The sequence below is a fragment of the Homo sapiens genome, chromosome 2, assembly GCF_000001405.40.
Source record: "Homo sapiens chromosome 2, GRCh38.p14 Primary Assembly".
In the NCBI taxonomy this organism is placed as follows: Eukaryota; Metazoa; Chordata; class Mammalia; order Primates; family Hominidae; genus Homo; species Homo sapiens.
In genome coordinates, this window is record NC_000002.12 from 102156410 (window position 1) to 102172208 (window position 15799).

A 15799-nucleotide genomic window follows, 5' to 3' on the forward strand; every position below is an offset into this window, starting at 1 on the left:
TAAAGTGAAGAGAATATGAATGGGTATGTCTCGCATGGTTAGAAAATCTTTTTTTTTCCTGTATTTGTTTAAAAAGCATTTTGTAACTTAAAAAAATACCTATACACCTTTTTTTTTTTTGAGATGGAGTCTCACTCTGTCACTCAGGCTGGAGTGCAGTGGCACCATCTTGGCTCACTGCAACCCCCGCCTCCTGGGTTCAAGCAATTCTCCCACCTCAGCCTCCCCAGTGGCTGGGATTACAGGCATGCACCACCACACCCAGCTAATTTTTGTACTTTTTGGTAGAGATGGAGTTTCATCATGTTGGCCAGGCTTGTCTTGAAGTCCTGGCCTCAAGTGATCTGCCTGCCTTGGGCTCCCAAAGTACTGGGATTACAGGGGTAAACCACCACACCTGACCATAATACATCTTAAATAGAACATTTTCCAGCTAATATTTAAATGACTGCATGTCATTAGAATCTGAATGAGTGTTGTGTTAAAATATTTTGTGTTTTCATATTTATTTACTTACTTATAGCTACGGATAAGAATATAGGCAAATTTAATCTCCCGTAAAAATTAAAAGGCAGATGTTTTCAAAGCACAGAATTACATGGTCTACTCTAGACATTGCTCCTAAGGTTGAGCAGAGGGGATAAGAGCTTTTTCTCTTTTTTCCTTTCCTCTTTTTTTCATACAAAGTTCGTTGTAGATATTTTAGAAAGTATAGAAAGCCCCGACAAGGGGAAACCCACTCAACCCAATTTTAATGTTGTTGTCATTTCTTTTAGTTTTTTTGGGTGCATTTCTATGTAGCTATATCCTATTGTACAAGCAATTTAGGATCTTGCAATATAAAATGAAGGCATGACCTTTGAGCTGGCCAAAAGTATGGGCTGATTTTTGCAAATGGGTCCTGGCAGCAGGGGACATAAGTGGGGAACCAATCCCCACACAAGCAGAGGTGAGCTGGCTTAGGGGCGAGTGCATAGCTGACTTTGGATGTAGACTAGATTTGGGGAAATTTAAATGGGGTCCAAGACTGGAAATGTGTAATGGGACAGAAGGTAGAAATGTTTAAAATCTTAAGTTGTTGAGTTTGTTCTCAATTTTGTGAAAACTCTTTATCCCTTTTTGTTCCCCACCCCATTTTCTAACCAGAAGTCAAATATGACAACATTCATGATGTAGAAAAACCAGTTCATCAGTGTGACTTGTGGGTGAGGGTGGGGACAGGGCCGGTGTTGGTATATTTAGTTTTAGAGATTTGCTGGAAAAGTAACATTTTTGCTTTTGTCTTTCTTTCGTTCCTCCATTTCTCCAGAAGAATATGAAAGTGTTACTCAGACTTATTTGTTTCATAGCTCTACTGATTTCTTCTCTGGAGGCTGGTAAGTTAAGTATTTCTTTGTGTTCTTGTCTGCTAAGAAAATCTGTTATTTAGAATACATGAAGTACCTTCCCTAACAGAGTCATTTCTCATACTCGTCTCTGTTGAATCTCTGGGCACAGAGCCTCCTGGTCATAGACCTGTACTGCTGGAAGTTCCTCTCAGCATCTTCGTCTCATTCTCTCCCATATAGAGTGGGAAACTGAGGCCTAGTGAGGCTGAGAGCCCAAGGTCATGTAGCTAGTTTTGGAACAAAAGCTAAAATCTAGGTCTCCAATCTAGGTCCAGGCCTCTTTCCACTTGGCTGCTGGTTGAAAGTGTGATATGGGAAATTCTGACTTTCATTTGGAGGAGATATTATGTATAGTCTTTATGAACCCACAGCTGGAAGTCATCAAGATACACTACTTTTTCTGTTTCTTTCCATTTCTTCATTTTCTCTAATCTTTTCTCTTTTTGCCAGGTGCTAGCTACTGGGGATACAGCAGGGAACAGTGCACACAGAAATACCTGCCTGCATAGGGTTTATATTCTTGTAGAAGAGAGAGATAACAGATAAGTAGACATATATTGTGTCATATGATGGCAAGTATAGGGAGGAAAAAAGAGTATAAGGTTTTGGCATTACAGTGGGCAGAAGGTTAATTTTTTGAATGTGGCCAGAAAAAAACCTCCCTGAGAAGCTGACTTTTGAGTTGACCTTAAGGAAGGGGAAAAGAGAGCTATTTGGATATCAGATTGGGGTGTGGAAATATTCCAGTCAGCATGTGCAAAGGCCCAGAGGCCAAGAGTATTTGGCAGGCTTTCAGAATAAAAATATCAGCATGTCTGGAGCATAGTGAGAGATGAGGGAAGTCATAAGGGACCAGGCTGTCTGGGTAATGGGGGGATGGCAGAGGGTTGATTATATGGAATGTTGTGCCCTTTTTTAGGGTCTTGGCTTGTAGTCTGGCTGGGATGGGAAGACTTCAGGGTTCTTTGTTTAAGACCAGAGAGGTGATCTGACTTACGTTTTGATTCCTGTTTTGAGAATAGATCCGAGGGAGCCAAAGAGAGAAATAGAGAAGCCAGTGAAGAGGCAAGCCATGATGATGGCTTTCTCTAGGCAAGAAATGTTGATGGCTTGTCAAAGGGTGGCAAGGAGAAGTGAGAAGTAGACAAATTTTGAAATATTTTGGGAACAGAACCAAGAGGGATTTGGAGTTGGGTCAGATGTGAGATGTGAGGGAAAGAGAAGAATCAAGAATTATCTCAGGGAATTTTGGCCTGCGCAAACGCAAGGTGAAATTGCCATTGATGAGATGGGGAAGATCAGGTTTTCAGACTGGATGTGTTAAGTTTAGCTGTCCATTAGATGTTTAAAAGGTGACTTTGACTAGGCAGTCTACAGCCTGAGGGAAAGGTCTGGGTTGAATATATAAAATTGGAGACCTCAGCAAGCGGCTGGTATGAGAACCATGAGACTGAATGGGATCATGGAGTGTAGTTAGGAAAGATAAGAACTTTAAGGACTGAGCCAGAGATTGACTTAAATTCCTTGGTCCAGTGAGTTTTCTCCCCTTTGCTGAGGGGCTCCATGTGTGTTGGAGCATACCTTCAACATTAAGGCTGTTTAAGGCCTTAGCCTTCACTTCCTGCTTGTGTATGACCTCAGAGTCATCCAGAAATGAGAGCCTGGTGCCTTCTATGCAATTTCCTGGGCATGCACACAGCCCTGCATACATGCCCACCCTTCTGGGTTCCCCAGGAATGTGTCAGAGCTTTTCAAAGCCCTCTGGAGGTTATGGCTCTGGTATTGCAGCTTTAGGCAGTTGTAAAAAACAATTAACACTGAGTTTTTCCAGCAAACGCCTTGGGGATAGTGCTTTTGCTGTGGAGCTCTTGGTGAGGTCAATAACACCACCACCCTATGAATGTGACTTTGAGGACCTGCCAGTCAAGTCAAAGAGTGGCAGTGCTCTGGAAATGGGACTTTTCGAGGAGCTCCAAACCCTCTCTCTTCTTGCAAGCCTGCTGGTTTTCAAAGCCTTTGTGTCTGCAAAGCTCTTGATATTCATGGCTGTTTTAGAGCTGGGAAGAGTAGGATGGAAGTCATTTAAGTTATAAAGCTACAAACCCTGCTGATCCGTGATTTGGCATGTTTCTGTTTGTTTCCTTATTTTCTAGTAAATGCTCTTCTGGTTACTGCAAGCCTTTGATTTTTGAAATTTTTTGCCAGTCTTTTTGTTGCCTTTATGGAGGAATGATTTATGAGACCCCCACTCCACCATATTGGAAATCTTGCAAATTCAATTTCTTTGAATAGAAAATAGTATTAATAGATATAGGGCAATCCAGGCTATCTACTTCTTCTCAAGGGAGCTTTAATAGTCTGGAAAATTTGCTCATTTCATTTACGTTATTAAATTTATTGGCATAACATTGTTTATAATATTCCCTCACTACCCTTTACAAATTATTTAAAAAAGAGATGTCATCTCTTTTTTTTCCTGATTAGTCTGGCTAAAGATTTATCAATTTTATTGATTTTGTGAAAGAATCTGCTTTTGGTATCTTTGATTTTTCTTCATTGTTCTTCTGTTTTCTATTTCATTGATTTCCTCTCTGATCCATATTACTATTTTCTTCTTACTTCTGTTATATTAATTATGTTTTTTATTTTCTGTATCTTACCATATTTTGACATTCTGGAAGATGTTTCATATCTAGGGAGAGACTGCTCCACCAGGGGCTAAGCAGTTCCTAGGTGTGTTGTGGACAGCTTACAGCTTGCCCTTCATGTGAGACTGCTTGACCCAAGATGGTACCCCACTCACCTCCTTATCCAACTCTCACACACCCAAACCAATGTTACCCCAGCCTCAATCAACACAGGGCTAGGTACCAGAGAACTAGGGACAGCCTCTATGCCCAAAGCCTGCAAAAATGGTTCAAATGGGCCAATCTGAAACTGTTTATGCTGCCCTGCCTTGCCTTTCCCATGGGAACCCCAGTAAAGATGCTGGCCTAGGCTTTCCTTTTGTTTCTGCTTCTGCCTCCTAACCCAATCTGGTGATTCTCCCTGTGGTTTTGCGTGGTATGGCACACCCCTTCTGTCCGAACCACTAAGTAATACAAATCTTTCAATTGCATTAGTCTCTGTTTTGTCACTCAGTCACCTTCGTAAATGAAGACCCAGGCATAGAATCTCTGCTTGCTGCTTACTTTGGAATTACTTTGTTCTTTTTCTAGTTTCTTAAGGTAGAAGCTCAAGTCATCAATTTGAAATTTTTAAAAAATATATAGGCATTTAAGGCTAGCAGTTTCCCTCTAAGTACTGCTTTCATTGAATGCCATAAGTTTTGATATGTTATGTTTTCCTTATCATTCAGATACAAATACTTTATATTCTTTTTGATTTCTTTGACTCATGAGTTATTTAGGAGTATGTTAATTTTCAAATATATAGGGATTCCTTGGATATCTTTCTATTATTGATTTCTAATCTAATTCCATTGTCACCAGAGAATAAGTTTTGTCTAATTTGAATCCTTTTAAATTTACTGAGTCTTGGGTTATGGGGAAGAATATGGAAAATTTGCTAAGTTTTATGTGTGCACTTTAAAAAGAATGTAATGTTCTACTGTTGTTGGTTGGAATTTTCTGCAAATATCAATTATGTCAAATTGGTTGATAGTGTTGTTCAAATCTTCTATGTTGTTACTGATTATCCGTTTAATTTTATTGCTTGTTCTATCGGTCCTTGTGAGTGGGGTTTCTCTAGTTTCTTGCAGAACCAGTTTCTCTAGTTCTTGCAGTTCTGTCAGTTTTTGCTTCATGTATTTTGAAGCACTGTTAGCAGCTACATAAACATTTGGTATTATTGTGTTCCTGTTGATTAATGACTTCTTTATTTTTTTAAAATTTATTTATTTATTTATTCATTCATTTTTGGGACAAAAGTCTCTCTGTGTCACCCAGGCTGGAGTGCAGTGGTGCGATCTCGGCTCACAGCAACCTCTGCCTACTGGGTTCAAGTGATTCTTGTGCCTCAGCCTCCCAAGTAGCTAGGATTATGGGTGCCCACCACCACACCTGGCTGATTTTTTTTGTATTTTAGTAGAGGTGGAGTTTCACCATGTTGGCCAGGCTGGTCTCAAACTCCTGACCTCAGGTGACTCACCCGCCTCAGCCTTGCAAAGTGCTGGGATTACAGGCATGAGCCACCACGCCTGGCTGACTTCTTTATTTTTATGAAATGCCCCTTTTTTCTTGTAATATTTTTACTGTAAAATCTACTTTGATAATAATAGTCACTCAAGCTTTAACTAATTAATTTTTATTAAGGTATAGTTGACAAAATCGTGTATATTTACAGTGTACAATGTGATGTTTTGGTATATGTATACATTGTGAAATGGTTAACCCTAGCTAATTAATCAAACTTTCTTTTCATGAGTGTTAGCCTGGCAAATATTTTTCTTTTCTTTTTAATCTATTTTTACCTTTATTTATAAAATGTCTGTATGTAGGTGTATGTGTTTATGTTAGGCACCACATAGTTGGGCCTTTCTTTAGCCAATCTGATCATTTCCGCCTTTCAATGAGAGTGTTTAGACTATTTGAAATTTTAGTGTGATTATTCATATATTAGGGTTTAATTCTGGGATCTTGCTATTTGTTTTTCTATTTGTCCCATCAATTCTGTTATTTTTTTCTCTTTTTTTGCTGCCTTTTAGATTAATTGGCATTTTTAGGATTCATTTTATTTTGCTTTTTGGCTTTTTAGTCATAACTGTTTGTTGTGTATGTGTTTTTTTAATGACTGCTCTGGGGCTTAAATAGCCATCTCTAAGTTATCTCTGTCTGCCTTCAGGTAACACTATACAGTTTCACATATAGTATACAAAGTTAAGAGTATATACCCATTTCTCCTTTCTTGAACTTTGCCCTATTATTTCCATATATGTTACTTCTTTATTTGTTTTAAACTTTATAGCATTTTATTATTTTTTATTTAAACACTCAGTTTTCTTTAAAGAGATTTAAATAATAAGAAAGATGATCTTATAATTACCCATTTTTGTTGCTATTCATTCTTTTGCGTAGATTCATTTTCATCTTATAATATTGTGCTTTTTGAAGGAATTAAATATTTCTTGTAATGCAGGTCTACTGGTGATGACATTTTACAGCTTTGGCAAATCTGAAAAAGTCAGTATTTTTTCCTAAATTTTAAATATATTTTCATGGGATATGGAATTCTAGGTAGACTTTTTCTTTCAGTACTTTAACGATATTGTTTTGCTCTCTTCTGGCTTGTATTGTTTTTGGAAAGAAAGCTGCATCATTTTTTGTCTTTGTCCTCTGCAATAATTGTGTCATTTCTCCCGGGCTACATAGAAGATTTTATCTTTGTCACTGGTTTTAAACAATTTTATTATTATGTGTTTGTAGTTTGCTTTATGTTTCTTTTGCTTGGGGTTCATTGTGATATGGGGGCCTATGTATACATCATTTTTGTCACATCTTGAAAAACTTCAAATATGTTTTCTGTTTTCCACATTTTTCTTCTTCAGTGATTCATATTACATGTATTGAAGTTGTCCTAAGTAAAATAATTCCCTGCCCATTTTATTCTGTTATTTTTGTCTCTGTGCTTAATTTTGGATAATTTCTAATGCTGTGTCTTCAAGTTCACTCATCTTTTTTTTTCCTGCAGTATCAAATCTGCCGTGAATCCCATCCATTGTTTTTTGTAACTCAACATTATTGTTTTCATCTCTAAAAGTTTTTTAAAATCTCTTTCATGTCTTCACTAATCATGTTTGATCTTTCCTGTAGCATCTTGAATAAATGGAATACAATAGTAATAAACTATTTTAATTTTTAAATTTATTAGGCCTATTGTCTGTGTCATTTCTGGGTCAGTTTTGACTGATCGATTTTTTTCCTCCTTATCGTTGGTTGTATGTTACTGCTTCTTTGCATGCCTAATTATTTTTTTGGATGTTAGACATTGTGGATTTTACCATGTTGGGTGCTGGATATTTTCGTATTCCCCAGAATGTTCTTGAGCTTTGTTCTGCCACATGATTGTTACTTGGAAATGGTTTAATCCTTTCGGGTCTTGCTTTTAAGCTTAATTAGGATCAGGAAAAAGTTTATTCTTGGCCTAATTTTCCCTAATGACTGAGTCAGAACCCTTCTGGGTACTCTGCCTGATGCCTTATCATTAATGAGGCTTTCCACCCTGGCTGTTGGGAACAGCAACTGTTTCCAGCATTGGGTGTGCTCCATGTGTTACTCCCTCCAGTTCGTTTGGTAGTCCTCCCTCTAGCCTTGGGTCATTTTCTTATATGCTTACACTGACTGATACTCAGCTGAAAACTTGGGGGAGACTCTCAGTTATCCCAAGACTCTTTCTGCGTGTCGTTATGCAGCTCTAAGTACTTGGGTACTCTGCCCTGCAAACTTTTCTACCCAGGTTCTCAGCTCCATCTCCTCAACTCACTGGGCTTTGCCTGTGTTTTTTCTCGGCAATGTCATGGCCTAGCTGTAATTTTGGACACCTCCTTTCTTCTCCGTCTTTCTGGGATTTCTCTCCTTTGTTTTCTGATGTTCAATGTCTTGAATACTGTTGTTTCATATATTTTGTCCATTTTTTAGTTGTTCATGTGGGAAGGTAAATCCAGTTTCTATTACTCCATCTTGTACTGAAAGGCATGTCTCTCCTCCTACATTGTCCCCACTTTTTAGATGAGTGAAAAGGGGGTGAAGGATGTTAAATAACTTGCCAGGGGTACAGCACACAGGCAGTAAGTGATGCAGCTGGACTTGAATATGCTTCTCAGACTCCCCAGATAATGATCTTATCACAAGGCTGTAAAGCTTTTATATGTAATGTGAATTGATGTATTTAATAATCAATGTGTTTCTTCGTAGATATTAAATCAAGACACACTGGCAGATTTTTATGTAAATTGCTTCCACCCTTCTTCCTTTTAAAGATAAATGCAAGGAACGTGAAGAAAAAATAATTTTAGTGTCATCTGCAAATGAAATTGATGTTCGTCCCTGTCCTCTTAACCCAAATGAACACAAAGGCACTATAACTTGGTATAAAGATGACAGCAAGACACCTGTATCTACAGAACAAGCCTCCAGGATTCATCAACACAAAGAGAAACTTTGGTTTGTTCCTGCTAAGGTGGAGGATTCAGGACATTACTATTGCGTGGTAAGGTAAGAGAGGAATTAGTATGTTACAAACATGTTCTAGTTTCCTGCAGTTGTTAAGGACAGAAATACTTTTAATAATGCTTAACTTACCTATTTTATTTTATTTTAGAAATTCATCTTACTGCCTCAGAATTAAAATAAGTGCAAAATTTGTGGAGAATGAGCCTAACTTATGTTATAATGCACAAGCCATATTTAAGCAGAAACTACCCGTTGCAGGAGACGGAGGACTTGTGTGCCCTTATATGGAGTTTTTTAAAAATGAAAATAATGAGTTACCTAAATTACAGTGGTATAAGGTAATTTTATTTTAAATATGACATTTCACTTTTCCAGAAAATAAAATAGTTCCCTGGACAATAGAATGTATCTGCAAAGTACCTTTTTATTTTGTATATTGTTTTCTCTTTAATGGTGAAACTTGATAGGGAACCTAAAAAGAATTGTAAGACTGCATTCACTTAATTTGAAGCTTAACTAGAAATTTGTTTGCTGTTGTTTTTATTTAATTTAATAAGATGTAATTGAGAAAAGTACTAGAAATAGATGTTTAAAGAGAAGGCTGATTATAAGCTTAAGGTATTGAAGATGTAACTATTTATTACAAAACATACTATGTGTGTTTTATTGAAGATATGGTCTTCAAATAACCTGCTAGTTTCCATAACTGTCTGAAAAGTGGGTTGACTAGCTTTCCATGGAACACCCCATGTTTTGGTAACTTTAATCTACCTAGTCTGATGGAACTTAAATGGGGAATCATCTTGTAGAGCTTAAGACGTACTAAATACGTAATATCAATGAAGTGCAGTATTGTTAAGAAACTATATAGTGTTAACATTTTTTTCAAACATGTTTTTCTTGCAAAATAAATTGGCCTTCACTTCATAGTACAAGTCTCATAGACTTGAAAACTTAATGTCATAGGAATATAGTTAACTGTTTCCAAAAAGCCAGTATTAAAACTTACTATATGTAAGGAACTTTTCCAGTCACTTTCTAAAAATATAACATTTGCTAAGGTGAAAAAAATGGAGCTCCTTTGGCGGTAGATTGGGGAAAGTTATTGGTTATTGGTTTTCAATGCTTCTCTCTCCCTTTATCTAGGATTGCAAACCTCTACTTCTTGACAATATACACTTTAGTGGAGTCAAAGATAGGCTCATCGTGATGAATGTGGCTGAAAAGCATAGAGGGAACTATACTTGTCATGCATCCTACACATACTTGGGCAAGCAATATCCTATTACCCGGGTAATAGAATTTATTACTCTAGGTGAGTCATAGCTCCAGCCCTAAAAGGTTTAGATCTGGGAAGGTCCAGAGACTGTGATTCTAATACTACTTTCATTATCCATGAAGAAACCAAATCCAAGACGACCTCAATGATACCACAAAAGTCACATGGCTTTAGTTTTGTTTTTTTGTTACTAAATACTATGTAATGTTTTTCCATTCCTGCTTCAGATGTAGTTCTAATTAAATAGAGACATTATGAGCTGTGTTTTCCAACTGATTTAAGAGGGTTGTTCTTTGGCATGGCTAAAAATGGTTCTTACTGAAAGCTCTGGGGCTCCCTCTGGCTGGTATATGGGAATGTTCTGAGAGCCTGCACCTGGGGAATCTCAGTGAGTGTCAGTGTCTAGCAGCAAGCATCGGTGTGGACACTAATGAGCTTTGGAATAAGTCACATTTCCAGAATCTACCTCCTGTTCATTCTGTGTTAGGTGTTAACCTCTCTAACCCTGTTTCCTCTTCTGTAACAAGATGATGCAATCTCCCAAGGTTATTGGGAAGATTAGAGATATGGGGTACACGAAACTTGTGTACCTGGTGCAAAGAAATGCTTGGTGCAAAACAGCTATGCAATTAATAGGTGTAGGATGATTGTTCTTGTTAATTTTCTTGTGTCTTTCAATTCTGCGTTAACCATGTTTCATATTGAAAACTATATCACAGCAAAATGAAACAAAATGCACAAATTGCCAGGGGATAGTCAGAATGCTCAAACTTTTTGTAAATATTGAGATTTTGTAAGATTTATGTAATAAAATAAGAGTTATTCCAATCAGAACTTTTTTGCAGGTTATAGGGGTGACTATTAGTAGTTATGCTGGGACAACAGGTATAAATTGGGACTATCCCAAGCAAACTCAGAATATGATCACCCTATAAATAGCTTCACTTTTCCAGTTATATAATACTTTATTTTCCTAAAAATATTTTTATTAAATAAAAGTTAATTCCTTGCCATGGTCCCACAGGCATCAGTGAATCCCAATTTTCAATGGTCTTTGTATCAAACCATGTTCTTGAGTTTTTAGCAGCCTGTCATTGGGTAGCTCTGGTCTGTCTTTCCTGAAACATAGTAACCTAACCAGCAAGTAGAACTTGAGAGAGAACTGGGCACTGGGGACTATTTAAGCTAGGTTAAGTGTTTTTTTTTTTTTTTTTTTTTTTGAGATGGAGTCTCGCTCTGTCACCCAGGCTGGAGTGCAGTGGTGCGATCTCCGCTCACTGCAAGCTCTGCCTCCCGGGTTCATGCCATTCTTCTGCCTCAGCCTCCCGAGTAGCTGGAACTACAGGCGCCCGCCACCACGCCCGGCTAATTTTTTTGTATTTTTAGTAGAGATGGGGTTTCACCGTGTTAGCCAGGATGGTCTCGATCTCCTGACCTCGTGATCCGCCCACCTCTGCCTCCTTAAGTGCTGGGATTACAGGTGTGAGCCACCGCGCCCGGCCAGGTTAAGTGTGTTTTTGATATTCTCTGTTTCCTTTTCTGATCCCATTTGTAGAAACAATATACTCTACTCGGAGTGAGGTAATATTTTGTTTTCTTTCCAAGGCCCACACCAATGATGCCTAGCACTTTTTGTTCACTCAAGGATTCAAAAATATTTATTGAGCATTTACTATGTTTCAGGAACTGTAATAGGTATACATTAGGGAAAAAAACAGAGAATATCCTACCTTCATGGTGTTCACTTTTTTTTTGATTGGGGGAATACCGAGTGCTCAATTTTATAGTTTCTCATAGTTTCTTCATGGCCACAGATAAACCCCTGAAACCAATCTTTTCATAAATAAGTCAGATTAATTTCTGGGGCTTCTTGATACTTTTTTGCCTATTTTAATAAATTACAGCATTATTCCATAACCCTGTAGTTCTCACTATTGGGTCATTAACACAGTCATTAAATGCAAGCAGGTCTAGTATTGACTAGCCCTTCTGGCCAATAACACCCAATTCAAGGAAGTGACTTTCCACTACTCTCGCCTTTGCTGACATGCTTTCACTTAAGAGAGGCATTTGTCTGGGGACCCAGGGTCCTGGTGATGTGTGTGTTTTTCAGTAGCACCCCACTCTATGAATTCGGAAGGTCTAGCTCTACCCCGGGATTCACAGTGTGCTGTGGCCTCTGCCTCAGCTTTCTTCCTTCACTTTCTGCCTCCTGTCTCCTGGCATATGTGCTTTGAACACTTGATGGAATATCTGGCCAGAAGTCATTTAGTATGTTTTGCTAAGTGTTGTCGTCACTTGAGATTCTGATCTATAAGAGACTGACAAACCTTATGGATGTTTTTCTTTCAGAGGAAAACAAACCCACAAGGCCTGTGATTGTGAGCCCAGCTAATGAGACAATGGAAGTAGACTTGGGTAAGTGGGCTTCAGTGAGGGTATGCTGGAATCGGTTTTTTTTTTTTAAAACATAAGAGTAAGATAAATTGTATCTTTACTATATATAATCTAAGCCATTTACTGTATAAATCTATCAATGGAGGGAAAGTGAGACAAATTATATCTTAATTTTTTGTATTTCTTGCCTCTATGGCAAACATCTTGCCATGTCTGATATCTCCAGCCCTACTTTTCTGTGAACACTTATTACCATGAAAACACCAACCAGACACCAAGGTCAAAAGGCCTAGGAACCAGCAATGCCATTGACTGGTACAGGATTGGATTTCTTTCTTTTTTTTTTTTTCACAGAGTTAAAATATTTAATGACAAAAATAGGGTTTGCTGTAAAAGTGAATCAATACAGTAGGTGTTACTTATCTCTGAATTAAACAAAAATTATATTTGACATCTTAAAGAACTTCTGAAGAATTGATCATTGTACGACAGACATCAGCAGTGTTACAATTTCAGGACTGGATTTCTCATGACCAGATCCAAGCTTTGAGTCGGAAGAGTAAGGCTACAGGCCCCAAAGATGGTAGTCATTCTAGAAAAGTATTTTTCCAAGTTAGTGAACATTTTTTATTCAAGAGTAAAGAAAGAACCCCACAAGCATCTAGCTCTGCACTGTTTAGTGCAGTAGTTACTAGGCGCATGGAGTTATGGACATGTACAATTAAATTAAGTCAATTGATTCATTTAGTTAAATTAAAAATTAGTTCCTCTGTCACATTAGCCATATTTCAAGGGCTTAATAGCCACATGTGACAAGTGACTACTGTACAGACAAGCACAAATATAGAACATTTCCAACATCACTGAAAGTTCTATTGGAAACCACTGATCAAGAGAGAAAAAGTGGTTCTTTGTGTCAGAGGACCCAAAATAGGTTGGCCTTGGAATTGTCCTCTGTAATAGTAACTGCATGACAGCAGTCAAGAACCATACAGAGGTTAGAAGGTATATGCTTGTGATCTGTGAATTCTGTACTTGGCCAATTCTGTACTTGTTATTTATGGTGGAAGGTGGTAGAAAGACATTCTTAGACAGAAACAAAAATGTCAAAACTCAAAATTAAATATGGGCCAATAGGCTCTAGAACAATGTTTCTCAACCATCTTTTTTTGTTTTAAATTGTTCCCCTTTAGAGTCTAAAAAGTCTTCTTCCACCTAATTCTCTTTCCTGTCTTTAAATTTCAGTACCACAGTTATCTTTTATATTTGCTGATATACTGTGGCCCTTTGGAGTACCACAAACCATGTAATATCTAAGGTTTTCTTGCCTCTTCCCCAAGAACCAGTTTTTGCCCTGCTGGCCACAGCCCCTGTTGAAAATGCCTGCCCTAGAAGTGTGTAATTGAGAGCTCTGATGCCTAGGCTGCATTGATCTCTCAATCTACAAAAAAAAGCTTCAAATTAGGAAATAATTATTTTAATGTATTATATTGACAGTGGATCAGAAGCATATAGTACCCTGTCATAGGATTATCCTGAAGGGTGTTAAACAGGCAATAAGATCCAATACCATTACTCCTAAAATGACTTAGAAAAATAGGGATTGAGAGATATTTCCTTAACTTAATAAATAACATCAGTGCAAGCCAATAGTCACTAATATTCTTCATGGTGAAATACTATAGACCTTCTCACTAAAGCCAAGAGCAAGACAAAGATGCCCATGTAACCACTATTACTGAGCACAGTCTAGAAGTGCCTACTAATGCAATTGAAGGAAAAAAACAAGGTATGCTTACCACAAGGGAAAAAAGACATTTTTATTATTGTTTCCTGATCATACCAATCCCAAGAAAATTCCCGGGAAAAACTAGAATTAATTCTGTATAAATTAGTCAGATAATAAATTAACATTTAGAATTAATGTTCTAAAATATAAGACTTGTTTAGCAATAACCAGCTAGAAAACATAATAGGAAACAAATGCCATTTGCACCAGTAAATGTCTTAGAAGTGTCCATAAAATATGTTAGAAAAACTTTGAAAATATGTGGAATTTATAAGAGAGGAAAAAACTAAAAAAACCAAAACCCTGAATATTAATCTCAGAAAAACTGAAATTTAAAGCATGCATCCAGCCAGGCGTGGTGGCTCAAGCCTGTAATTCCAGCACTTTGGTAGGCCAAGGTGGACAGATCACTTGAGGCCAGGTGTTTGAGACCAGCCTGGCCAAGATGTTGAAACACCATCTCTACTAAAAATACAAAAATTAGCTGGGTGTGGTGGTGCACACCTGTAGTTCCAGCTGCTCAAGAGGCTGAGGCATGAGAGTCACTTGAACCCAGGAGGAGAAGGTTACAGTGAGCCGAGATTGTGCCACTGCACTTCCAGCCTGAGTGACAGAGCGAGACTGTGTCTCATTTTTAAAAATGGAATTAAATAATGGATAGAGGGATAACAGTTTTTAAAAAGGAAGGCCGATGAGCACCAAGCTAATGAAAAGCATGTTGATTCACCGTGAATTCAAGAAATGTAGATGAAAACTTAAGTGACATTTTCTTCTCTCAAAAGGCAATGTCTAACCAAAAACACTTGTTATCTGGTGGTTTTGGGGAAAATCGTGCTCACATACACTATTGGAGAGAGGGTAGACTGACACAGCCTCACTAAAGAGAGGGGGTTAGCTTTTAAAATATGTTTCTTTAATTCAATCTTGCTTCTAGATTTTAATACTTCAGGATGTGTACAAATAAGGCTATTCATTAAAATATTAATCATAATAGTGAAAAATTAGGAAATTGTGTTCATCAATAGGAAATAGTTAATCATAGTGTATATGTATTATGGAATGCTAAGCAGCCATGACAGAGTCTATTTTGGAAGACAAATCATGTGGGCCCAAATTCCCAATCCACAGTAATTACAAAATAGTAGGCAAAAAGACCCCATTTCAAAAACTGCACATGTTCACAGAGAAGATAAGGAATGAGACGCATAAGGTTACTAATGGTGGTTTTCTCTGGGTGGTGGGTTTAGGGTAATTTTCCTTTTTCTTTGTGCATTTCTATATCTAAAATTTTAATTCAATAGCCATTTATTAATCTAGATAGATCAGAAAAAATCAATTAATGTTAAGATTAAAAATACATTCTTTGCAGGATCCCAGATACAATTGATCTGTAATGTCACCGGCCAGTTGAGTGACATTGCTTACTGGAAGTGGAATGGGTCAGTAATTGATGAAGATGACCCAGTGCTAGGGGAAGACTATTACAGGTATGTATGCTAAGAGTTATTCACATTTTGGTGTTAAATCCCACGTGATATTTTATATAACCTTGTCGGTTCAGTTTAAAAGCAAGTGTTAGTTGCTCCTAACCTTTGCTGCCTTTTTTTTTTTTTTTTTTTTTTTTTGCTAAGCTAAGTAGAATTTATAAGATCTTGTACATTTAAGGTAAAAAATACTTGTCATTGTGGTGCAAATTACAGACCACTTAGAAGCCTTTCTCTTACGTTATACATGTTGCAACATTTCAACGAAGCAATTATCTTTCATTATTCTTCAT

At 37.4% G+C, this 15799-nt stretch overlaps 1 protein-coding gene across 23 annotated transcripts in view, besides 1 other annotated feature; it reads left to right on the forward strand.

Annotated features, from left to right (window-relative positions):
- Positions 1-15799, forward strand: part of IL1R1 (interleukin 1 receptor type 1) — a 109485-nt gene that overhangs the window by 86020 nt on the left and 7666 nt on the right. For 13 of the 23 annotated variants that reach the window (XM_011511115.3, NM_001320978.2, NM_001288706.2 and 10 more), the window contains 6 exons: positions 1310-1376; positions 8365-8599; positions 8706-8895; positions 9704-9872; positions 12189-12254; positions 15392-15509. In XM_011511115.3, coding sequence (XP_011509417.1) covers positions 1316-1376; positions 8365-8599; positions 8706-8895; positions 9704-9872; positions 12189-12254; positions 15392-15509 — 839 coding nt within the window. In that variant the 5' untranslated portion in view covers positions 1310-1315. Of the gene's footprint in view, positions 1-1309; positions 1377-8299; positions 8600-8705; positions 8962-9703; positions 9873-12188; positions 12255-15391; positions 15510-15799 lie in introns of those variants that run through there. The other 10 variants (XM_047444180.1, XM_047444181.1, XM_047444178.1 and 7 more) reach the window with 7 other exon arrangements.
- Positions 3090-3284: a silencer, noted in NCBI's record as "fragment chr2:102775959-102776153 (GRCh37/hg19 assembly coordinates)". NCBI's record gives its function as "represses an EF-1alpha promoter that drives an FKBP-Casp9 reporter gene in an ReSE screen in K562 erythroleukemia cells {active_cell/tissue: K562}" and the evidence as "EXISTENCE:reporter gene assay evidence [ECO:0000049][PMID:32094911]".